Here is a 24,782-nt window from a genome sequence, read left to right as displayed (position 1 = left end):
ATGCAGGACATTAGGCAAAAGGACATTCACCAAGCGTGTGTCCATAGGAGAAATCTTTTGTCAGTTTTGTTGGTTGCATTCTGGAAAGAAGGTGGCTGGGAATAACCTTGGGTGGGTTTGGTGTTGGGAAAGGCTAAAGGACTTCAAGGAAAAAACCAAACCATACCCTAACCCTTCCAGATGTTCCCACCTCCCTGCCTTTGCCATGCATGGCCTCTGGCAGGACAGCTAGCTTTAAAGTGTGGCAATTTCACTATCATCCACTCCCCTCTTCCCTGAGAACTGGGGTCCCTGGAAACCTACCTTTGCCCCATCGTGGGCCTTTCCTGGTGAGAGCCCTGGGTCCCCTTTCTGTCCCTGAAACAAAAACAATTCCACTTTGGCCACCAAGTCATCTAGAAAGGATGTCTGCCTCCCCACAAACTCTGCTCAAAGCCCTGCTCCCTTGCTTAAATGCCTTCCCATCCATCCTCCCACTCACACACCTCCAGAGGGTCTTCTCCAATTCTACTACTCCCCTGCTCTAACACCTTCCACAGCTTCCCCTGACTGCATGGTGACAAAGTCCAAGTTCCTCCTTCTGCTATCCCAAGTCTTCTGTAATCCAGCCAGTCCCAGGCACCCTATCTAGACTCTGCTCTCCTTTCAGCAGCCAAACCCACAGAGAGGGTCCCTCTGCTCTATCCTCAAACCACAGCCCACGCCCCAGCCATGTCCCACACTGTCCTGCGACCAGGCTGTTGCTCAGGCAGTCACCCACACCTAGAAACCCCTTCTCCAATCATCGTTAGCCAAACCACAAACATTCTTCAGTTCACAGCTGGAATGTGTCCTTCACATCCTACTTGTAGAGCTCTGCGTCCATCCTCCAGGTGACCAGTCTCTGCCCGTGCACGTGGCCAGGACTGTCTCCTGGCTTGTTCCCCTGGGGCTCTCAGGGGTTTCTGAGAGACATGTCCAAGAGGCGTGTCAATACTTTTTGATTTTCCAGAATGTTGATATCCATTTCATGGGTCTCTACATGAGGTTCAATGCACGAACAGCCACTTACAGGTGTGTACAGCCCTTCACAGTTGGCACTATCCCTCACCGCACTAGATTTCTACAATCTAGTGAGGCAAAGGAAGCATTATTCCTCTCATAATATATTTGGGAAAACTGAGGCTAGGAGAAGGAAAGGGACTGTCTAGGGCCTCAAGATGAAGCATTGGCAGAGCTGAGATTATAATCCTGACTGGTGACTCCCAGACCTGCGTTCCAGGATGCCCTGGCTCCTGCTGAGTTAGAACAGGCAGTAACTTGAGGAGAAACTGACAAGCAGTGAGTCCCCCATCAGAGGCAAGCACTCTTTGTGCCTAGCATAGGGGACAGTCCCTGTCACACAGATCCTGGCTCCTGAGAGCATGGGGCTCGGGAAAAGGGCCCACAGGTTCACCAGCCATGTCTGTCACGGGGTGCTCCTGGCTGCGGCTCCTCTCCTTTGGCCAAACCTGATCAGATGACTCAGGAAACAGCCCTGTGGAAAGTCAGTCCACCCTGTGTCACCTTCTAAGAGCTCTTAATCTTTGTCCCCATTCCTATCCCACCTTGAGCCCTCTCCCCTCCCTGCCTCAGCTGGGCCCAGAGTCAGAAGTCCTGGACCTGCCAGACTCACAGTGGGACCTCAGGCAAGTCACTGCACCTTCCTGAGCTCAGCTCCCTCACCTTTAAAGTGGGGACCACACATGCGCACACACATACACGTGCACACACACACAAACACACGCCAGCTTCCCAGGTTTCCAGGCAAGGAGCCAGTGGGATAATGGTCATAACACATGGGAAGGGTGGTTTGGGCAACTTTAATTAATTCCCACTCAGTTCTTTTCTTCATTAGAACTCAGATTTTCCAAATCCTGACTCGGTCACCCTCCACCAGACATCACTGCATTCTGAACTAGAAAGTGCCTCCAGAAGGGAAAGGAATGAGCTTTTGCTGCTCACCTACTATGTGCAGACACTGAGCTAGCCCCACTCTGTGCACCAACTCCTTTAGTCCTCATAGCACCCATTTGTTCCAAGGAAGGACAAAGGTGGGTTCAGAGAAGGCCAAGTCCCAGCCTGGGCTGGCCTTCCCTGGCAGGGAAGAGACAAAGGCTGAGTCTGTCCCCAGGCTAGGTCTGACTTCAAAGCCCCATTTGCAAATGGGAGGCCTGGGTGCTTCTCCCACACTCCCCATCCCCCCAGCAACCCCAGGCTGAAGGTCCCCAGAACTCCAACTCTGTCCATCTGGGCCCCTCCAGGTCATATCTTCTGCAGAACCTCACCTCTGGGATTCACCTTGCACTGCAGCTGCTCCTCCCGGACACCCTCCCACCCTGGGCTGTTCAGAAGCCCAGCTCAATGCCTTTTATGTCCATGGTACAAGGCCAGACCTAGGGCTACCGAGGATTCCAATGGCCAAAAAAGGACAGCAGCTCTTTCTCAGCCAGCCTGTGCCCACCTCGATCTGCAGCTGATAGAGGAGCTGGGCTTAACAAGCTTTCAGGGCTGGGCCTTCAGGTATCCCATTCTGTTATCTTACAAAAAAAGGAAACTGAGACCCAAAATGATGACTTGCTCCCTTGCCCAAGGTCCTTACCCAGGGCATTTTAGTTATTCATGGATGTCTCTCTGCATTCTCAGCAGCCAGCACAGTGCTCAAGATGCAATGCCTGCCCGAGTATGATACCTACAAGTACAGATGCTACAAGCCAAATCTCAAGTTGAACAGAAGACAGGGAATGCCATGGTGGGGAACAGACACACTCATGTCCATGATGGAAAAACCAGAGAGACCAGTGATGATGATAAGCATTAATATTTACTGTGTGCTCCTTAAGCCCTGGACACATATTAACTCATTTAATCCTCCAAATCCATAAGTTGGCAACGATCACTATCCCCCTTTTACAGAAGAGGAAGCTAAGGCACGGTAGGAATAAGTCACTTGTCCAAGGTCATACAATTAGAAAGTTGGATTTAGTCATTCTATTACAAAGATACATGCACTTGTATATTCATTGCAGCACTATTTACAATAGCAAAGACATGGAATCAACCTAAATGCGCATCAGTGATAGACTGGATAAAGAAAATGTGGTACATATACATCACGGAATACTATGCAGCCATAAAAAGGAATGAGATCACGTCCTTTGCAGGGACATGGATGAAGAAGCCATTATCCTAAGCAAACTAATGCAGGAACAGAAAACCAAATACTGCCTGCTCTCACTCATAAGTGGGAGCTGAACAATGAGAACACATGGACGCACTGGGATGAACAACATACACTGGGGCCTGTCGGTGGCAGGGGAGTAGGGGTAGGGAGAGCATTAGGAAAATTAGTTAATGCATGCTGTGCTTAATACCTAGGTGACGGGTTGATAGGTGCAACAAACCACCATGGCACACGTTTCCCTATGTAACAAACCTACACATCCTGCACATGTGGCCCGAAACTTAAAATAAAAATTAAAAATTAAAAAAAAGAAAGTGGGATTTAGGTTCTTGCAGTCTGGTTCCAGAGCCTGAACTCTTTACATTTTGATATACTGCAGATGAAAAACTACAATCCGGTGGTAAGTGGAGGACAGGAAGAAGTTGGAGAGAACTTCACCTAGACGGAGGTAAATCCTTGAAGGGAGTTACAGCTAAGTTGAGGCTGGAAAAAGACAAGGAGGAACCAGATGAAGTGGCGGCTTAAGGGATGCTCAAGGTACCCCTAGACAGGTGAAGGTATGACTTCTGGGATAGAGCACACTATATGTCTTCCCAGCCAGGCTCCTGCAAATCTTCCAATAAGAAATATAAGTTATATACAAAGTCTAACTAACCATTTACACCTTCATAGAAACAAGAATCTTGTTGCCAGACCAGCTCTCCAGCCAATGAGCTTGTGTGACCACGACAGAGCCTGTGTGACCTTGAGCAAGCCACTTTCCCTCTCTGTATGTGAAATGGCAGACTCTGCCTGGATTAGTTAACAGAGCCAGGTGGTACTAGAAGACAGATGGGAGCCTTAAGTGCCAAGAACATAGCAGGAATGGGAACTATGGTGAATACCTTTCCTGCAGGTAGGGTTGGGAAATAGAACAGAAGGCTTGGGTGGCTGAGGCCCAGAGATGGGGTGAGACAAGGGAGGAATAAATCACAAAAGATTTGGAAATTCTGGCCAGGCATGGTGGCTCATGCCTGTAATCCCAACACTTTAAGAGGCCAAGGAAGGAGGATCACTTGAGCCCAGGAGTTCTGGACCAGCCTGGGCAACAAAGTGAGCCCGTCTCCACAAAAGCAAAAAATTTAGCTGGGTGTGGTGGTGCACACCTGTAGTCCCAGCTACTTGGGAGGCTGGGTGGGAGGACTGCTGGAGTCCAGGAGGTCAAGGCTGCAGTGAGCTATGATAGCACCACTGCACTCCAGCCTGGATGACAGACCAAGACCCTGTCTCAAACAAACAAATAAATGAATAAATATTGAGAAATTCTGAGCTGGAAGCCTCCTATATATGTCATCCTTGGTCTCAGTATCTGGCACAGGGCCTGGCCCAGAGAAGTCAACATAAAATGTTTCACAAATGAGCAAATGAGTGAACAGAGTCTCAAGAGACAATGGTAGGGATAGGAATGGGTCAAATCTGGCTCCTGCCCCAGAACTGTCTCTGAATTTTCACTAGGCCTCTCACTATCAGTACGACTATTTTCATGGGTCTAGAAGTTCTGGACAATGCAATAAGGCAGGAAAAATAAATAAGAACTACTAACCTTTGAGGAAAATGAGACAACAATATGTTCTTTTCTGCAAATAATGTGAATGCCTATCTATAAAATCCAGGAGACCCAACAGAAATACTAATAGAATTAATAAGGTGATTCAGTAAGGGGATGGTTATAAATTAAATACAAAAAGTAAAAAAATACAAAAATCAATAGTTATTTTCACTAGATGAGAGCTATCTAGAAAATATAATGGGGAGAATATTCCATTCAGGACAGCAAAAAAATATATAAAATTTCTAAGTATAAACCTAATAAGAAATGTGCAGGGCTTATGTAATAAAAACCATTAAAGTTTACTAAGAGACATTGTAAAAATTCAACCAAATAGGAAGACATGCCATGTTTTTAGATAGAAAAATGTAATATTTTAAAGACGGCAATTCTTCACAAATTAATATATGTATTTAATTACAATTCCAGTAAAAATCCCAAGCGTTTTTTCAAGGAAATTATTAAGATAGGCATAAGGTTCATCTGATAGAATAAATAGCCAGAAATGTTTTAAATGAAGAAAAGAAGGAGGATACACAGAATAAAGATAGTAAATGTCATATAATTGGTATTTTACTAGCATAAAAATAAATAAACAATGAAACATAATACAATGGCTTGTATTAGACCCATGTCTATCATAGAGTAAACAGTGGAGGAAAGATGGTTTAACAAGTGGTTAACTGTTGGAGGAGAAATAATGCTGGAGCCCAACTTCATTTCCATCACCCCCATTAACATGAATTCCAGATGGTTTTAATTTTTTAAGAGTACAAATGATTTTATGAAATTACAAGGAATATAAATGAATACCTATCTGACCTTAAAATGGGAAAAACATTCCTATGTATAAAAGCAAAATAAAGAACCACAGATTTTATAGATGAATAGAGCCCTCCTGAGATTATCTGACACATTATTTTTTTTAAAGGATAACATTTCTATTTGTGAAAATCATCATGAATACTCTTAAGAAGCAAACAACAAACTAGAAAATATTTGTAAGGTGGATGAAGCCTTAATAACCTCAAAATAATGTTTACAAACCAATAACAAATGGCAACATCCCAACCTTCCAAAATAAACCCACTCATAAGTGGTGAAGTACAAATGGAAAAGAGATTTAAGAAAAACATACATCTCATAGATGATCAATGAAGTGAAAATGATAATAAATTATCTTCTTTTAAAAATATCTTCCTTTAATGCTAGCAGCAGCATAAATCAGTTTAACCTTTCTAGAAGGCAATTGCTAATAAAATAACAGCTAAGCACTTATATGTCTCTCATGTGCAAGGCATATTATAAATCATTTGTATATATGTGTATGTATGCCTGTGTATGTATATACAAATATATCTTGGTATATGTCTTGATATATGTCTACATATACATATATAAATACACATATATGTGTGCACATACACACACACACAGTTTAATCCTCAGAACAATCCTATGAGGTATGAACTATGATCATCCTTGTTTTACAGAAGTGGAAGCTGAGGCCCTCCAAGTTTTAAGTAACTTGCCCAAAGTCATACAAGCAGCAAATGGTAGTGAGGTGGGAGATGAGACTTGACTCTGGAGGCAGGGCTTGGACTTGGGACCAAATTGAGGACTAGCTAAAACAGGCATGAGGTAGAATCACCTCTCAGGTGACAACCTGAAAGTGACTGCCCCTTTCCATGGCAATGACCTGATGACCTGGAAGTTACCACCACTTTTCTAGAAATGTCTGCATACTCTGCCTCTTAATTTGCATATAATTAAAGGTGGGCATAAATATGACTGCAGAATTGCCTCTGAACCGTTACTGTCAGCACACTGCCTATGGGGTAGCCCTGCTGTGCCGGAGCAGTCACGGAGCTGTACTGCCACATCAATAAAGCTGTTTTCTTCTACCACCAGCTGGCTGTTGAATTCTTTCCTGAGTGAAGCCAAAAACCCTCCCAGGCTAATCCCCAATTTGGGGCTTGTCTGCCCTGCATCAGTAGAGCCAGGATTCAAACTTGGGCACACTGACTCCTGAGACCACATCAGCAATTCTATTTTTGATGAACTTATCCTAATGAAATAATTGGAGATATTCTAACATTTACATACAGTAATGTTAATCAAGATAATATTTGTATATTAATTTAAAGTGGAACTGATTTTTTTTTACTAATGGAGTAAGTTATATAAAGCATGGGATATTAGTGTTGATAAAATGCCATGAAGCTATTAAATCATATGTGATGGATGCCAAGTTGCTAACACAGGAGAATGTTCACAATAATTGTTAAGTGAGGAAGGCCAGATACCCAGCCACTACAAAGTGGATCCACACTCACATATGTGACACACACAGGGAAGACCAGAGAGCTGTGGAGCTGAGGGCTAGATTGACACCTTGAGGTCAGACAGTTGAGGGTTTGAATGCGTGCTCTGCCACTTACTAGAAATGTGACACTGGGCAAGTTATTTAGCATCTTGGACCTATTCCCTCATCTGTAAAATGGGGGTAATAATACCTGCCCTGCAAAGTACATAAAGCTCTTGGCCGGGGCCTGGCCCAAAGGTTGCTCAAAGTGCTCTCAGAGCTTATTACTGGGCAGGACCACTACAGATAGCTCACTTTCTTCTTGACATCTTCTGGACTTCTCCATATTTTCCTTGGGTGGCTGAGGCCCAGGGTGGGGCTGAGACAAATGAGCACTAAATCACAAAGGATTAAAATATTCTGGGCTGGAAGCCCCCTGCATACTCCATCTCTGATCTCAAGTGCCCAGCACAGGGCCTGGCCCAAAGGAAGGAACATTAGAGGAAGAGGAAAGGTAAAGCTCACACTAGCTCTGCCAGCAGCCACCTGGGCCATGGAGCCTGCCCTCTGCTGACCACATCTCCTTCCCAGTGTCTGAGGGCCATATCATCCTGGCTAGTTCACTGCAGACCAAGTGGACCAGACCAGAGACAAGGTGGCTGGCTGCTCAAGAGTGGAACCAGGAGCCTCATGGCCCAGTGCAGGGAGCACTGGCGGGGAGCACTAGCTTCCCTATCCAGAAGGAGACCCCCACCTCTGCCCTAGAGCTCCTCATTTGCACCAAGGACCTGCATCCCACCTGACTCCACCATGGTCCAGCATCAGCACCCTGCCCCAGGGGCAGCTCCAGCCCTCCATCTGGCCACCAGCCAAGCTCTGCTTCTCAAATGGCCTAAATGGCGTTTGCAGACCTCATCCAGTCATGTCAATTCTGCTGAAATCCTTTCCAGGTCTTCCAGCTGCTCTTTGGATAAAGTCCGAAAATCATACCGCAAACTACCAGGCCTGTTGCCCTCACCAGCCTCCTCCAGCCCCTTTGCCTAGTCGTCCACTATACTTTAGACCTTGGTTCAACCTTCCTGCCCTCTGAGAAGGTGTCCCTCACCTCCCGGACTAGATCAATCCCCATATCGTGGGGTCTCCGAGCACTCCGGGCCTCTCACATGGAGCCCTAGAGACCTAATCATGGTGTAAGTCTGCATTTGTCAATATGGTTGGCTTGTTTTGCTTTCTCGCTCACCTCTACACTCCCCAAGGGCAGGGACCATGCCTGCCTGTGTCCCTGGTAGCCCCAGTGCCTCACACATGCAGACAACTGCCCCTTCTGCAGCACCTGCCACGGGTCAGCACCGCTCTAAGCGGAAACACATCCTCTCAGGGTCCTAGCTTCTCTGCCTCATTCTCAAAGTCCTGGATCCAACTCTGTGCTGGAGCTGACAAGCTCCCTTCCCTGCTGGATTGGAACATGGGATATGTGGGTAGCTGGCAGATAGGCAAAGCCTTGGACTCTGGAGGAGGAAGATGGGGTGTGGCCTGGCTCTGGCCTGTGCCAGCTGTGACACCCTGACAAAGCTCCTTCTGGCAGGCAAACCCAAGGATCTGAAATACAGTCCCCCCACTGCCCAGCCGTGATCTAGGCAAGGTCCCTTGGCCTCCTGAACTTTCACTCTTCTGCACCCTCCGGAGGGATGAGGTCCCTCACCTCTGCTTTCTCTCTTTCTTGGTCTTCCTCAAACCACCCATCTCTCCCACCCTTGAGTCTAGCAGAGGGATCGTCTTCCCACAAGGCCATAAGCACCTGAAGGTGGAGATGCACTGATGGGATGACTGCATGGGGCTGATCCAGTTCCGTGCCCCCAGGGCAAGCCCTGACAGTGTGACTGATTTATCTGTCAACAGCCCGTAGTGGGTGCTCAATACACGTTTGTTGACTGAAGGAGGATGAATGGATGTGTGGCCCCAGACACCATGCTGGAAGAGGACGGGACAGCATAGGCCCTGGGGGAGGCCAGCCCTACAGTCCCACCAGGTCACCTCCCATCCCAAAGGGGATCTGCTGAACAGTAAGGACTCTAGGACCCTCTTCCCAGGGTCCCACCCATTCATGCAGACACACAGCTTTCTCAGCCAATCTCAGCCAAGTCATTACTTCCATCCAGGGAAGGCCTCTGCTTTAACCTTGTCCTGCCCATGCCACAGATCAGCCTAGGGCCCTGGCCCAGTTAACTGGGCCTCCCACCAGCCTGCTCTGGGGCCACCTCTGTTCACCCTTGGCCTCAGGGCCAAGTGTCCAGGCAAAGGGCATGACATTTCCCCCTGGCATTTTATGCAAGTCCCAATGAGAGAAGCAGCCTCTGATTCCAGTGTATTTTATAGAACCCACATCCTTATCTATTATACACAGATGCAAATGGGAGTCCTGTCCATGAGGCCCTGAGTCCATGGTTCCCAGCTCCATGTGGTGGCAGGAGAACTCACTTGCTAGGGAGGAGCCTCAGTGGTCATACTAAGAGATGTGTTCAAAATGCGAGGAGAAACAGCTGGCAGGCCCTCCTCCTACCATGGCACATCTGTTAGCAAGATTGGGGTGGGCTACCATGGGCCTGGTACTGAGGTTCCACAGTGCTCTGAGCAGGGCCAGCAGAAGGGGCTGATGGAGCATCTGCTACCACAGGAGCAGGGAGTGAGTCTGGGGGTGGGAGGAGACAGGCTCCACTGGTCCCAGAGCAGGCCAGGAAGGGGCAAGCCTGGCCATTCAAAACAGCTGCTGATGCTCGGCATCTTGATGTGCCATGGCCTCTGCAAAGCAGAACTCTCCAAATGAGTTCCTGCCTCTCTGCCTGACCCATGGGGGCAGTCTCCACTGCCATTTCCTAGACAATGTCTTACTCGACCCGTGCCTCAGTTTCCCCATCTGTAAATGGGTACGGTATCTCCACCCATCTCTTTAGGTCTTTGTGGTGATCAAATGAGACAAGCCACATCAAACGCATGAACAGTGCCTGGCACACAGGAAGGGTTCAGTATATGGCTGTTATTATCATCAGTGTTCACCCTGTGAAAGCCCAGAGCACCTCCAGGCAGCTGCTAAGCACTGGACACCTGAGGCCTCCACTGCCTGCCTTCCGGAAAGGAACCCAGCCCAGCCCAACCCTGGACGTAGAGTCACAGATCTAGAGGGGCTGAGGCCAGTGCTCCTGCACTCTGCTCTGCCCCAAGACTCTGACACCACAGATCCATATGCCCAGGGCTACCATGTGAGACCTCTGTCCAAAGCTCCCAGACAAGCTGATGGGCCAAAAGGAGCCCTACTCCATGACTCAGGAGAGATGGGCTTTAGAGGCTGCTCAGCAGCTCACTGTGCATGGCCTGGAGCCAATCAGTTAAGGGCTTCCCTTAAGCCATTCAACCTCTGCAGCTGGGTTATCAAAGAATGACCCGGGACCTGGCCCAACCAAAGCACGGGGGTGCTCTTCACCTGGTTACCCCACAGATGACACAGGCTGAGCTGGGAGGCCCCTGAGTCAGGAGCCCATCTGCCCCCTCCACAGCTCCTTCGGCACAGGCACTGTTCTCTTAGCTTCAGGGACTTTAGCATCTTCCTTCCCCTCCTATCTCTCCAGCCATTCCACAAACTTTCTTTTCCCATGACCTAAATGTTGCTGGCTCCGGCAATCCTCTTGGTGCTCTGAGTTTCTCACTTCCAATGCAGTGCCCCAACAACCTTGCCCTCTGCCAGAGCTCCGGGAACAGACTGAAGAGCTCAGCAAGTGGTGTTCCCATATCATCAAAGCATCAGCCACTAAGGTCTCATTAAAAGTGAATTCGAGTATTCCAAGAAGACTCCCTGGGGGAGGTGGCATCTCTGCGCCAGCCTCCCCCTGGCTCTGTCTCCAGCTCAGAGCAATCCTGAGTTCCAGAATATCTGTCCATGAATGATCACTTGACCGGGCTACATGTTCCTGCGTGCAACATCATCTTACTCCTCCTCCTGGGACCCAGTTCAGTCCCCAAGGCTAACATCAGGGAGGTAAAAACTGTCTGGTGTTTGTAACTGTCTCTCACCTTGCACCCACCACCATCCTTTCCACCCTACCTCCTCCCACACCCCTAAGTTGGCCCGGACTAGCCTCCTTTCTCCCCCATATCACCCCTGGTCTCCCGGCCTTGGCTCTGGTTCCCCACCCCGCATTCATCCTCCTCAGGGCATCCAGTGAGCTTTCTAAAACGTCATCTTTCCACATCCCTCCCCAGGATGCATCTTACAACCCGGTAAGCCTTATGTTCTTAGTCTGACATTCAAGGCCAGCCTTCCCTATTTAGCAAGAAATCACCTCTCTGCCCACTCCCCTGAAGGCTCTGGGTTCCAACTGCCCGACTCTCCCAAGTCTCTCCCAGACGGAAGCACTGTGTCTCCGGACCAGGCACAGGGCCCAGCCCTGGAAAGGGGCCCAGAGGGTGCCCCTGGCTTAGGCGGGAATCCCCCTCAGTTCCCCTGAAGCCCTCCCACCAGGCACCCCTGGGAAGCACTGCAAACATGGCTCCAACCCCAGCACCCACTCCATGGCCACATCTCCAGCAAATACTCACTTTGGCTCCAGGAGGGCCGGGGAGACCTGGATTTCCATAAGGCCCAGGAGGACCCTGAAAGAGACAAGGAACAAAAACAAAAAAAGGTGACAAAAAACAGGGGCCATCTCGCCTCTGACAGCAATGCCTGGCACCTTCCCTCCACCCACTGGTTTATCTTCTCCCCAAGCCAAGCCCTAGCAACACTGTCGTGGCCACTCAGCCTACTTTTGGGAGTACACCCTCCATGCCTGGCCCAGTGGGAAGCACATCCCATGTGCCATCTCATTTGATCCTGTTAACCTGGAAGGTAGGTGGTGTTGTTATTACTATTTTGAAGACGAGGATGCCAATGTTCACAGAGGTTCGTAACTGTCTCAGATCACCCAGCTGCTAAGAGGCAGAGCTGGACCTTGACCTCGGAGCACAAGTCCTTCACCCCTAAATTTTACCACCTCTCCACATCTCTCAGCCTAGCCCCGTCAGCCCTTCCCAGCTTCTTCAGGCTCAAACCACACTTAGCTATGCATTTCCCTCCCACGTATCTGGTACTTTCTCTCCTCGTTGCGTTTGCCCATGCTGTTCCCTCATCTGGCAGCATCTTTTCTCATCCATCTCCTCTGCTTGAAACCTGATCCATCCTTCAGGCCTGGCTCAAAGTGCCATCTCCTCCGGGGAACCCTCTAGGGCTCCTCCAGTCTCAAGTGGACTTTTTTTTTTAGAGGCAGGGTCTTGCTCTGTCGCCTGGGCTAGACTGTAGTGGTATGATCATGGCTCACTGCAGCCTCAAACTCCTCGGCTCAAGAGATCCTCCCACCTTAGCCTCCTGAGTAGCTGGGACTCCAAGCATGGGCCACTAATTTTTATTATTTTATTATTATTTTTATTTTATTATTTTTATTATTTTATTATTATTATTTTATAGAGATGGAGTCTTGCTATGCTGCCCAGGCTGGTCTCGAATTCCTGGCCTGAAGCAATCCTCCTGCCTTGGCCTTCTGAAGTGCTGGGATTACAGGCGTGAGCCACGGCAGCTGGCCCCAACTGGACTTTTGTATGAGTCTTTGGAGTTGAGAGCTCAAGAAGGATGTATTTGACCTCTTGTGAACAAAGGTGCACCTCTCCTGTGGCTACAACACGTGATCAGACCCTTAGACACCTGCAAGCTCCAAGCTTTCAAGGTCTTCCAGAGACCACAGAGCACCTGGGAACACTGGACCCAGAGAGTCCAGGAGGCTTGATCAAGGTCATACAGCAGATTTGTGGCCAAGTGAGATCAGGGTCCAGGGCCTGGTGGCTTCAAGTCCAGAGTTTATTCATGGCGCTGGATTTTCCCAGGCCATATCCAAGTTCCCCGATAACAGCTGGGTCCTGTTATGTCCACTTTCTCCAGCAAGGGCCCTGGCCTAGAGTCTTCCAGCACAGTAATATAAATAGAGCCCTAAGAGCCGGGGAATACTTGAGGGTTTTTGTCTAGCAGGAATAATCTGGGGCATAGGAGGTGAGGAGAGGCACCCTCAAGGGTCCAGTGGTCCTCCCAACCCCACCAGCCTCTAGGCACACTGCCCTCTTCCCCGTCCCTCTTGATTCATCGGGCTAACTGTGTGTGAACTGCTTTCTTCTTCCCTCTCTGAGGCCAGCTTCCCAGCTGCAGCCTGTCACATTCCAACCAAGGCACCTCCCTCTTCCTCTCTTCCTTGATGCCTGAACTGGGACCCTCCCCTTCTCCGAATGCACCGGCAAGGAACAGTGTCCAGAGCACACTGAGCCTGGGGAGTTTCTCAGTGCCTCTTGTGACCCTCCTTCCAAAATAATCAGCCCTCCTGCCCTCCCCTGCAGTCCACCAAACACTGTCTCCTGGCACGCGACAGAACCTGGAAGCATCGAGACTGAGTCCCAATTCTGAGCCCCACCTCATAATCCCCAGCCTCGGTCTCTCCCTCTGTTCTGTAAGTGACTGGGACCCAGCAGTCTCTAAGGAATCTGGAACACCCTCCGATGTTCACCCCAGCCCAGGCTTGTGGGGTCTAACCAGGTCTAACCACAAGCTCAGTGGGAATTGGACAGAGGTTGGGAGGGAGTGTTCAAGGAGGGGTTCCTGACACCCAGTTCCACCAGAGCCAGGCGTAGGCTGCACAAGGTCAAGGGCGGCTGCCTCTCCCCAGTCGTGCCCCAGCTGCCCCACAGATGGTGGGCCAGAGCACTCAGCTCCCCCATCTGCAGCTTCTGAAGGTGGGGGCTTCCTGTTTCCCTGCCCCCCCGTCCCCAACCCTCTCCAGTATTGCAGAGAAACGAGGCACATAGTTGACTGAAAGCCAAGCAGACCAATTCTATAAATGCTGCAGCCTAGAAAGCCAGGTGGGGGAGGCTCTGGGATTCCCCAACATCCCTCCATGGGCTGGGGGAATATGTGGAGGTAGGAAGGGGCAAGACAGAGAGCTTTGGGCGACCTCAGGTAAGAATGCCCCTCCTTAAGCCCCAGAGCCCCCATCTGTGCAGAGAGGAGCTGGGATTGTTTAATCCAGCATTCTATTATCTTTGGAATTTTATAATCTATGGAATTTCCAGTCTAGAAACAGGATGATGGTGGGACGGCGGGCAGGGAGAGTTGGGGTGGCGTGCAGGCAAAGAGCCTAGAAGCGTGTCAGGAGAGTCATTCACCCAGAGCTAGGTGGAAACTTAGAAATGCCTTACCATGACCCCAGCCTTTATAGATGGGGAAACTGAGCCTAGAAGGACAGAAGGGACTTGCCTAAGATTCCACAACTTCTTGGTAGAAATATTCTTGACTCCTACATTAGAACTCTTCACCAATCATTTGCCCAGCACCTCCAGCACGCAGGGTGCTCTGCCAGGCATCACGTAGGAGAGAGAGGTAACCGAGGCCTATCTCTGGAGGGGCTCAGGTGAATACTCAGAAAAATAAGCACAATAGATGCTTAAGATGGTAGGCTCTGGGCTAGGCGCAGTGGCTCACACTCATAATCCCAGCACTTTGGGAGGCCGAGGCAGGTGGATCACTTGAGGTCAGCAGTTTGAGACCAGCCTGGCTAACATGGTGAAACCCCATGTCTACTAAAAATACGAAAAAATAGCTGGGCCCGGGGGCGTGTGCTTGTAATCCCAGCTACTTGGGAGGCTGAGGCAGGAGAATCCCTTGAACCTGGGAGGTGGAGGCTGCAGTGAGCCCAGATTGCTCCATTGCACTCCAGCCTGGGAGACACAGCGAGACTCTGGCAAAAAAAAAAAAAAAAAAAAAAAAAAGATGGTAGGCTCTGGAGGCAGACTGCCTGGGTTCAATCCTGGCTCTGCCATTTACTCTCTTTGACTTTATCTGAAGTAACTAAACCTTTCTGAGCCTCAGTTTCCTCATCTGTAAAATGGGAATAGATTGAAACCTGTTTCTCAGAATGGCTGGGAAGGTGGAATGAGATCCTGCACATGTGGCTCAGCAAACAGAGTTTAGTGGTCAATGAGAGCTTTGAGAAAGTGGCCCATGCCATCCAGAGGGGACAGGGGAACCACTGCGGGAGTTCCAAGAAGGGAGTGGTCATCAGAAATAAAGGTGGCATTTGCTCTTAGACATGAATGGAGGACAAGTTTACAAAGGAGGACAGCCAGAGCAAAACCGCAGAGGCTTGGGGGCTCAGGAGGTTGGGGAAGGGAGTAGGCTGCCTAGGTCAACGGCCTCATCCTGGTCCCAGGCTGCAAGGTCCCATGGGCTAGCAGCGTCTGTGATATCTATGTGGTCCCCAGAGGGCACGTGCTTCATGAAGGCTCTGAAGCCAGGAGGAAATGCCGCTTCAGATGGCAGATTCCAGAGCCCTGGGCCCAGGGAGCACAGGGCCAGGTCTGGAGGGAACTAGGGCTTGGGTAATTGCATAACCAGAACCACTCGCTGGGCTCAGAGCTAAAAATATGCCCCAGGCAGCTACCTCTGCCAGGGCCTCACCAGGCACCCAGCGTGGGAAAGGCTGATTCAGCCTGGGCACAGATGCCGGGTGCTGTTGGTCTCAGCCCTCTAAGGGAAGCAGGTAGGTTTCCCTCTAAGGGGATCTCCAAGGGTTCCAGTATATGGGTAAGAGCCTGGGTTCCAGTCCTGGTTTTGCCATTTCCTACTCAGTTTCCTCATCTCTAAAATGAGAATGATCTCACTGTCCCATGGGAACTTGGGGTGGGCATGAGAGGTCAAATAAGGCAGCATAAAAGAAGGTGCCAGGCACATCACATAGGAGCTATTTTCCCTCTCGGGCTTGGGCTAGCTCAGTCAGCCACCGCAGCCTGCCAAGCTGTCCCCCAGCCTCTCTCCAGCAGGAGGAACTCAACTCCTCCCCGCATGGCCCCTCCAGGTACCTATGTCCGCACCCCTACTCCAGGAGAGCCCTGCAGAAACAGGAAGAGGGATGCAAGGGTCATATATTCCCCAAGGCAGTTTTCCTGGCCAAACACTGAAGCTCACCAGCCGAAGGGATGTGATCTTCTGGAGCCCCTTCCCCACCCCAGGCTGCAAAGGGTGATATCCCCAATGGACAACTGAGACCTACAAGAGGTCATTGCTGTTCCATGCCATATCTGTCCATATAGCACCCTTGAGAGCCCTAAGTCCACTCCAAATGGATAAAGCCAAATATGGGTGCCAGAGAGGGGGAGGGAAGAACCTGAGGACACACAGCAAACCCGAGACCTCAGGGGCAGTGAGACGCAGGCCAAAGAGCCACCAAGAGTTCCAAAGGACAGTGTGAGATAACTCACCCGAGGCCCACGTGCACCAGGGATTCCAGGTAGCCCAGGTAGCCCAGGGGGACCCTGAGGAGAAAACAAGAAGACAGCATTAGACAGTGCCCACTGGCAGCAGAGAATGGGCTCAAGCAGTCATTCAACAATCCCGCCTGCAGCTGTGGGCATGGATAGTCCGCGGCTAAGAGGAGGAGTCCCCTGAGGTCCCTGCCCTGAGAAATTCATGCTCTTTGGGGCTTTTGGGCTTTCATAGCTACTATTCAGTCACTGACGCCCTCATCATTTATCACCCAGCTAACTTAGGGTGTCACCTTCTCCAGAAAACCTTCCCCAAGTTGGACAAAGTCCCTTCTTTTCCTCTATTTTAAAGACCGCTATCTTACTTGGGGAATTATCTGCTTAGAAGCCTGTGTCTCCCATCAGATGACAGTCTCCTCAAAGGAACTAAGGGGATATGAGTCATCTGCCTATCCCCAGGGCTCAGCCAAACGTTTGATAAAATAAAACAGCCAGAAACCTCAGAGCTCAGCCAAATTCTCTGCAGAATCAGAACAGAGAAGGGACTTGGCCAAGGTCACACCAAGTATCTCTGCCCCACAAACAGGCAGCACAGCACACAGAGCATGGCATGGGTTTTTGAATCAGACATGCCTGGGTTCAGATCCCTGCCTGCCGCTGACAAAATGCACAAGTCTTTAGCCAGCTTGTGCCCATACAAACGGAGGCAATAAAACACTCCCCATGGGATTCCAAGGATGACATGAGAGATGATAAATGTTAACACGGTGCCTGGTATGTAACTGGCACTCAAATTTTCTATCTGTTCCCATGGCCACAGCATGGTCCAGCCTTCATCACCACTCCCCAAGAACCGGCAGCAGCCCCCTCAGTGGTCTCCCTGCCTCTACTCTCTCCTCCCTCCCCTCTGCAGTCCTCCTCCACACAGCCTCATTCACCTTCCAAAAGCCCTCCCCTGCTCAACAACATTTAAGGGCTCCCCATTTCCCACAAGTGAAAAACCTAACCCTGAAGCTCAGCATTTAAGGAGCATCTGTGTGTCCTCATCTCTTTTCTCTTTACACAGGAAGGGAGGCAGCCGAGCAGACTTACTGAAGGATGAGCTGATCTTTGTTCAAATCCTGGCTTTACCACTTAATAGCTGCACACTTCCTGCAGTTCCTCCCACTTATCTGAGTCTCAGATGCTCCCCGTTAAGATGGGTCCAATAGCTACCACTGCATTTACCTCGAAGGAGTAAATGAGGATTAACTAAGCGCCTGATGTGAAGAACTGTGCCTGCAGCCTTTGAAGGAAGCCAGGCTTTCGAGGATGTGTGAGGCCTGGGGAATTCATTTGTTTCAAATAACCATCAATGAGATTCCAGATTTCCTGCCCAGAGTTAAAATCGGTGTTGAAAACCCAGTCTGGTTTGGCTGGTAATTAATCCAGATCTCATGCTGGGCAGTCTCGGCTCACAGTTCTGGCCTGTGAACACCACGTGCTTGCTCGTCCATGAATAAAAATCAGAGGAGAGATCCAGACAGGCAGATATGGGTACCAAGGTCACTGGGCAAGAGCCCTGAGCAGAAGGAGGAGGGTCTGTTTTGTGACCTCGGGCAAGTCCCAGCTACCTCTGAGCATCCAGAGACCTCTGGCCAAATTGGCGGCAGAGTTCCAGGGGTGGGTAGAGGGGTTGTCTGGTTTTGTGGGTTCTGGACTCTGGGTGCCAGTCTTACCCACTTCTCCTCTCCAGCTGTCTCTGGGCAGTAGAGTATGGTGTAACACCACGGGCCTGGGTTCACATAGGGCACCCCCCCCCACCCACCTACTATCTGGGTGGCTTTGAGCAAAGCTATTTCCAGGCTCCAAGCCTTTTTTCTATTACTGTAAAATGAGGTTAATAATAGCACCTAGCCGACAGATAATCTATAACAAGTGCTAATCCTGGTGTCTGGCACCCAATTAATGCTCAAAAAAAATGTTAGCTGTTATTTCTGTGAAGCAAGCTTCTGGAACGTCCTCAACTCAAAATTTTAAGCCATCCTCCTTCACATCTGTTTCTAGGGGACAGCAAAAGATGTCCCTTCTTAGAAGGCCCTCCTTGACCCAACTGTCCCAGGTGGACCCAGAATTAAAGAAAAAGCAGGGGGCTGAGACGAAGCATACTGTAGGTATACCATGCCGTTTCAACAGGTAAGAAACCAGAGAGAGGTTCAGAGAGGAAAAGTGACTTGCCCAGTGCCACACAGCTAACAAGAGGCAGAGCCTGGATTCAAACCCAGGACCACTGGACCTGTTCTCCTACCCTGGGCAGCTGCCACACAATCTTGGTTGAGTGTGACTCTAACTAGGTATATGGCCTTGAGTAAGTCCCTTCTCTTCTCTGGACATCTGTGAAATGAAGATCCTGGAAACTTCCTGGCACTGGCATTTCCTGAGTTGCGGAAAGCCAAGGTGGGGGTAATTTCCTCTGCTACATTATCAAGTGAAGAGGAAAAGCGAGATTCTTCCCATCTCACAGAGAAGGCAAAGACCCAGCAGGGTGAAGGGCTTGTCCAGGACTCCGGGGAGGAACAGGCTCCGTGGGTGCAGCTCCTTCATGGACCCTGGTGGGGCTGCAGCTGCAGAGGCCTGGACACTCCCTCTTGGCATGTCTTCTGCCCCAGAAATAGGGGCATCCAGGATAGAGTCTGACCTCATCCACCACATCTGCAGAGCAGACTCTGAGTGCCACTCAGGACCCAGGGTCCAGCCTGGTGATGTCAGCCCACAGGCGGACTCCTTGACGGGGCGGCCCCAGCTTCGGGCCTGGCCAATCCCTTCACTCCACCTTCAACCTGGGTGGGGACCGCCGGCTGCCCAGTGCTAGCCACGGGCTGGACCCTCCCCTACTCAGTGCCCACTTTGCTCGTGGCGAGCACGGGTGCCCCCTGGCCCCTCTCCCCTGATCCGAGACCCTGCCTGTTCTCTCCGCAGTGGAAAAACGCTGCCATTTCTTTCCAGGGCCTGAAGCCTGAGCGGGTGACTCTGGGATGATTCACGAGGCCGGGGTGGGATTTTCCACTTTGCGTTGCAAACAACGGGGCCTCTGAGAGGGCCTGGAGCTGAGGGGGAGCAGAGCGGGGGCTCAGGCCTGCCTGGGGGAGGTGGAGGAGGCCTGGGCTCCAGGCGTACGCAAACAGAGCCATGGAAACAACCAAGCAGACCCCTCGGGGCTTCCCCCAAGGGTCCTGGCCTCTGACAGCCAGATCTAGGGGAACCCCATCCTACGGAACAAGTCCACCGTTGTGTCCAGCTGGAAGAGCCTCTGCCTGCCAAGCAATGAGAGGTTTTACAAGCCTGGGGTTTAGGAGACCAAAGTCCGATCCTAGGTGTGCTGCTACCTACCATGTGACCCTGAGCAATGTCCTTTTGATCTCTAGGCCTCGACTCTGTGTCTGTAACCTGTTGGGGGTAGATAGGGGGCCTCAAAGGGCTCTCCCATCTCTGACCATCTGAGCTCATGATTATTCCTAAGAATTCACACAGGGCACCCAGACTTCCCTAGCCTCTGTCCTGGGAAGGACCTGCTGGAACAGAGCTTCTTGGCATCAGTACAGCTCTGTATGACCTTGAGCAAGTTACTTAATCTCCCTGGGCCTCCGGGCCTTAGTTTGTCCAGCTGTGAAATGGGAATGTAATACCCATATTCTGAGATGGCATATGCATGCTGGTTCTTCTCCATTTACTCCCCAGATCTGTGCCGTGCCCTGGGAAGCTGACTTCTACAGATTATACCCCGGCCTTCCTTGACCTCTGGCTTCCAGCTGGGTTTGGCCAATGGGAGACCCCAGGAAGAGAGTGCACAGAAGGGAGGACAGGGTATATTTCTCTCCCTGTGCCCTCTCTGCTGTGCTATAATTTGGCTGCAGCTGTATTCGCCCATGGCCCCTGCTTCTGTGAGGAGACCCCTGCTCAAGGTTTTAACTCTTATTGGGTTCTGGGAACATCTTTCCCTGGGACCTTCTGGTCTGGGTGTGGTAACAATTTCCTGCAGTTTCCAGGCCCCTTGTGTTTCACCTGCCTCTGCTGGTTCCCTTGATGCTGTCCACCCCTCCGTAAATAGTCTGTTCCTTTAACTCTCCCCAGTGAGTCTGGGCCCTGCCTGGAGGTCAGGAGATCGAGACCATCCTGGCTAACATAGTGAAGCCTTGTCTCTACTAAAAATACAAAAAATTAGCCAGGCATGGTGGCACATGCCTGTAATCCCAGGTACTTAGGAGGCTGAGGCAGGAGAATTGCTTGAACCCAGGAGGCGGAGGTTGCAGTGAGCTGAGATCGCACCACTATACTCTAGCCTGGGCAACAGAGCAAGACTCTGTCTCAAAAAAAAAAAAATGGGGGCAGTCCTCCCCCAAACCCCCGCTGTCTAGCTGACATGTGTCATGACACTCTTATCCATTCAGGCTCCCTGCTGTCCCTGCTCCACCGACTAACCCCAGGTTAGTATTTTCATAGCACAGTTCTCCAAGCAAATGTGAGACTATGTCCAGACCCTCCCAGTTCTCTCAGTGCACCAAAGTCCCCACCTCAACACCCACCATCAGTCCACAATCACAGCCATGACAATCTACCAGGACCCAGGTTTCATATGTGCTTTACTCCCCTCCCCCCGACCCCCGCATCTCACTGAATCCATGTAACGACCCTGGAAAGGTAGGTGGCACCGTATCCCCATTTTATAGAGGCAGAAACTGAGGCTTAGAGAGGTTAAGTGATTTGCCAAAGGTCATACAGCACCAGGCATCTACAGGACGTTCAGTTAACAATTGTGCAAAGAATGAATGGATGGCTGAATAAGGGAATGGTTCAAATCCAGGTTGTCCCAAATCCAAAGCCTATGTTCTTTTGCAGTCCACATGGCCTCCTCATCTCCCTGGCAGGAGAGTTCTGGGTAACCTCAAGGAACCCCGCCTGGGAGTCAGGACGACCTGCATTTCGTAAGGATCAAATTCTTTTGTTCATTTCATAGATAGATAGTCACAGAGCACGTGGTGTGGGCCAGGCCCTTAGCGGCGTCTTCCCGAGGGGACATTTGCAAAAAGTGCAAGCACGGGCAAATGCCAGTGGCCTGATCGTGAATAAATAAGGCCTTGACTCGCCTCCTCTCAGGCGTGGGGCTTCTGTGCAGCTTCTGTGCAGGGCTGTGAACCACGGCCTCCCCGCCCCAACTCACCCAGGGCCAAGCTCAATTTTTCCATGTTCCCCCCTCCTGGGGCTCCCACAGAGCTTCCTCACTCAGCAGCTACAACTCCTGGCAGGCCTGGGCCCAGAACTCTGTCTCTGCCTCTGCCAGTTGCTCTCGTGCCCTGAACCCCGAGGAGCAGGTTTGCACATGCAGACACAGCCACTGCACCTTTCTCAAACACTGAAAGGTCCCACAGTCATTTCTAAGGGGAGAGCTGTCCCAACACCCTATTTCAGTGGAAGACTGAGCCCTGGGGAGAGGAAAGAATTTCCTCAAAGTCACTCAGCAAAACTAGATAAGATAGCCCAAATTACTTCATTTCTACTACAGCTGTTTTTTGAGACAGAGTCTTACTCTGTTGCCCAGGCTGGAGTGCAGTGGCATGATCTCGGCTCATCACAACCTCCACTTCCCAGGTTCAAGGGATTCTCCTACCTCGGCCTCCCAAGTAACTGGGATTACAGGCGCACACCACCATGCCTGGCTAATTCTTGTATTTTTGGTAAAGACAGGGTTTCACCATGTTGGCGAACTCCTGGCCTCAAGTGATCCGCCTGCCTCGGCCTCCCAAAGTGCTGGGATTATAGGTGTGAGCCACCACGCCCAGCCTCTACTACAGCTTTATATGCAAATAAAATTTACGCACATTTTCAGGCCACCCTCCCCACCAGAGGTGGGAGCTATTATCATCTTATGTTCTACAAAAACAGGCTCAGCATGGATCAGTCACAGAGCTAAAAGGGGTGGAGTCAGGATTTGAACCCAAGTCTGCATGTGCCTGGATGGGGGACAATTAAGCTCTTCTCCTGGGCAGCTGGAGCTTCTGTTCTGCTGGGCTTAGATCCTGGATATATATGGGGGTCAAGGGAAGACAGCAGAGGCCAGAAAGAATGAGAGTTCATTTCATCACCGTTCAAAGATGCCTCTTCCATTACATTATTCTGGTATCTGGTGAAGAAGTGACCAGGTTGCCATCTGCTACACAGTGGACAAAGATTCTACCAGCTTCCGGGTTCCTCCTAGGGTGGGGACAGGGGATAGCATGGGGCCTGAGACAGGGATGTCACCCGGGCAGGTTGGTGTCTTCCCCTTGTCCTCAGTAGTCAGGGCTGAAGGAGCAGAAAGAGCCTCAGCCCTGGCCAGAAGTCAGGGACCACAAGTTGCATCCCAGCTCCTTCAGGAACACGCTGGGAGCCTTTGGCGGGGTCCTTTATCTCTTTCCAACCCCTCTTGGATCATCTGTGGGGCAGGGATGAACACACACAGCCTGCCCTCCTCAACCAGTTTTCATGAGGTCCTAAAGGAGACACCGCGCCTGTGGAAGCAGCTCATAAACTTGATGGGTTATCGAATCGGAAGCTTCTTTAGGCCAGGCACAGTGGCTTAAGCCTGTCATTCTAGCGCTCTGGGAGGCTGAGGCAGGAGGATCACTTGAGGCCAGGAGTTTAAGACCAGCCTGGGCAACATAGTGAGACCCAGACTCTACAAAAAAAGTGAAAAAATTAGCCGGACATAGTGGCACGTGCCTGTAGTCCCAGCTACCTGGGAGGCTGAGGCAGGAGGATGAATTGAGCCTGGGAGATTAAGGATGCAGTGAGCTGTGATCACACCACTGCACAGCAGCCTGGGTGATAGAGTGAGACCCTGTCTCTAAAAAAAAAAAGAAAAAGATTCTTTAGATGTTGAGCCCTTCCTTTGAGGCCAGGGACAGTAGTGACTCCTGTCTGAAGCCCCCAGTCCCCCAGATCTGAGTCCCAGAGCCTCAGAGTGGACACTCAGGGCAGTGGGATGGAACGTGCTAGTCTTGGAGGCTACAGTCTGGAATGTAAACTTCAACTCCACCTCCTCCGTGCTGCGTGGCCTTGGGCAGGTCCTGGCCCTCTCTGAGCGCAATTTCCTCACCTGCCCAATGAGGAAAGTTGAACTAAGTCATCCCCAAGCAACCACTGACTGACCAGTTTCATTTCAGTGCCTCCTCTTTTTCAAAGAGATTTGGAAGGAGGCCTCGCTTCCTGCTGACCCAGAGCCCCAAGCCCCAGGAAAAAGTATTTGACTCAGACATACAGCAGACCCAAGATACTATAGAATCTGCCCTGGGCCAGCTCCGCTCCTCTCTCCACACCACACAAATTCTTGGGAGGGAGGGCCGGCCTCCTCCTCAGGGCTGGGTTGTGCTGTGTGGCCAGAATTGAGACCATGGACCTCACCATGTCAGGAGGGGGCAATTCCCCTTTTGACCTCACCGCCATTGAGCCCAGCACGCACACAGCGTGGGAAGCTGAGCTGTCAGGGCCCCAAGGCACCTGGTGCCAGAGTTGGCCTGGGTTGGCTGGAGAGGTGAAAAGGGTTCCTCGTTCTTTCCACAAGAAAGTGGTGGCTCCCAACTCTCTACGCTGCCAATTTCAGAACACGGAACTTGAGCAGAACGTTGACATAATTGCAAAGCAATGCATACAGTTTCCATAAGTTCGACAATATGGTTATAATAAAGGCAGACTCTCCGTCCTCTTGGAGACAGGCTGGATAAATATTATTCCTAATGATTATTAAAACTCATTAAGTGTGTTTGGAAGGCCTGGGAATTCCCAGCATCTGCCACTGTCTCCACATTGTAGGGAGCCCTAACCTCAAACACAGAGCCCAGTGGGAGAGCCGGCTTCAGGAAGGAGAGAGAGAGGCCACCACACGGTGGTCATCTCCAAGGCGGGAGAACAGAGCAGAGCCCTGAGCCTTCTGGAAACGCCATCCCATCATTCCCCACCCGGAGGAATTGGCCTCCAGCTGTGGGAAGGTCGTTGCCCCTAGAGACGGTCCCAGGCAAGCCGGAGGCATCGACCCTGAGACCATCCTGCAAATCGTGTTCTTTCTTCTCCCTTCCTCTTCCTTCTGGCCCACGCTGACCTTCTGCACCCCAAACTCCTACCGGGGGTTACAAATCAAACCCCTGCAGGTGCCAGGCAGGCAGGTAACATAAACGGGTGAAAGGACTGGTCGGAAGACTCAGTCAGGAGAAGTGGGGACCAGCACAGACAGGAGTGGACTTGTCCTAACGGGGTGGCTCAAGCACCATCGCATCTCCCACTTTCCAAGAGAAGTTGGTTGCTGAGTCTTTTTATAAGAAATCTCTCACATTTTTAAAATGTTAGTAAGTTAT

General features: G+C 50.7%; 1 protein-coding gene across 13 annotated transcripts in view; it reads right to left on the bottom strand.

The window, feature by feature from the left end:
- COL27A1 (collagen type XXVII alpha 1 chain) overlaps positions 1–24,782 on the bottom strand; it is a 158,414-nt gene that overhangs the window by 117,751 nt on the left and 15,881 nt on the right. For 11 of the 13 annotated variants that reach the window (XR_929860.4, XM_011519138.3, NM_032888.4 and 8 more), the window contains exons 4-6: positions 16,417–16,470; positions 11,686–11,739; positions 304–357 (exon numbers count right to left, since the gene is read on the bottom strand). Coding sequence is in view for 12 of the 13 variants with exons in the window: in XM_011519138.3 (XP_011517440.1) it covers positions 304–357; positions 11,686–11,739; positions 16,417–16,470 (162 nt within the window). In the remaining variant the exon portion in view is untranslated. The remainder of the gene's footprint in view (positions 1–303; positions 358–11,685; positions 11,740–16,416; positions 16,471–24,782) is intronic. The other 2 variants (XM_047423992.1, XM_006717308.3) reach the window with 1 other exon arrangement.

The sequence above is a fragment of the Homo sapiens genome, chromosome 9 (assembly GCF_000001405.40).
Source record: "Homo sapiens chromosome 9, GRCh38.p14 Primary Assembly".
Classification (NCBI taxonomy): domain Eukaryota; kingdom Metazoa; phylum Chordata; class Mammalia; order Primates; family Hominidae; genus Homo; species Homo sapiens.
Note: the sequence above shows the minus strand (reverse complement) of the source record. Positions and strands in the feature narration are given on the sequence as shown.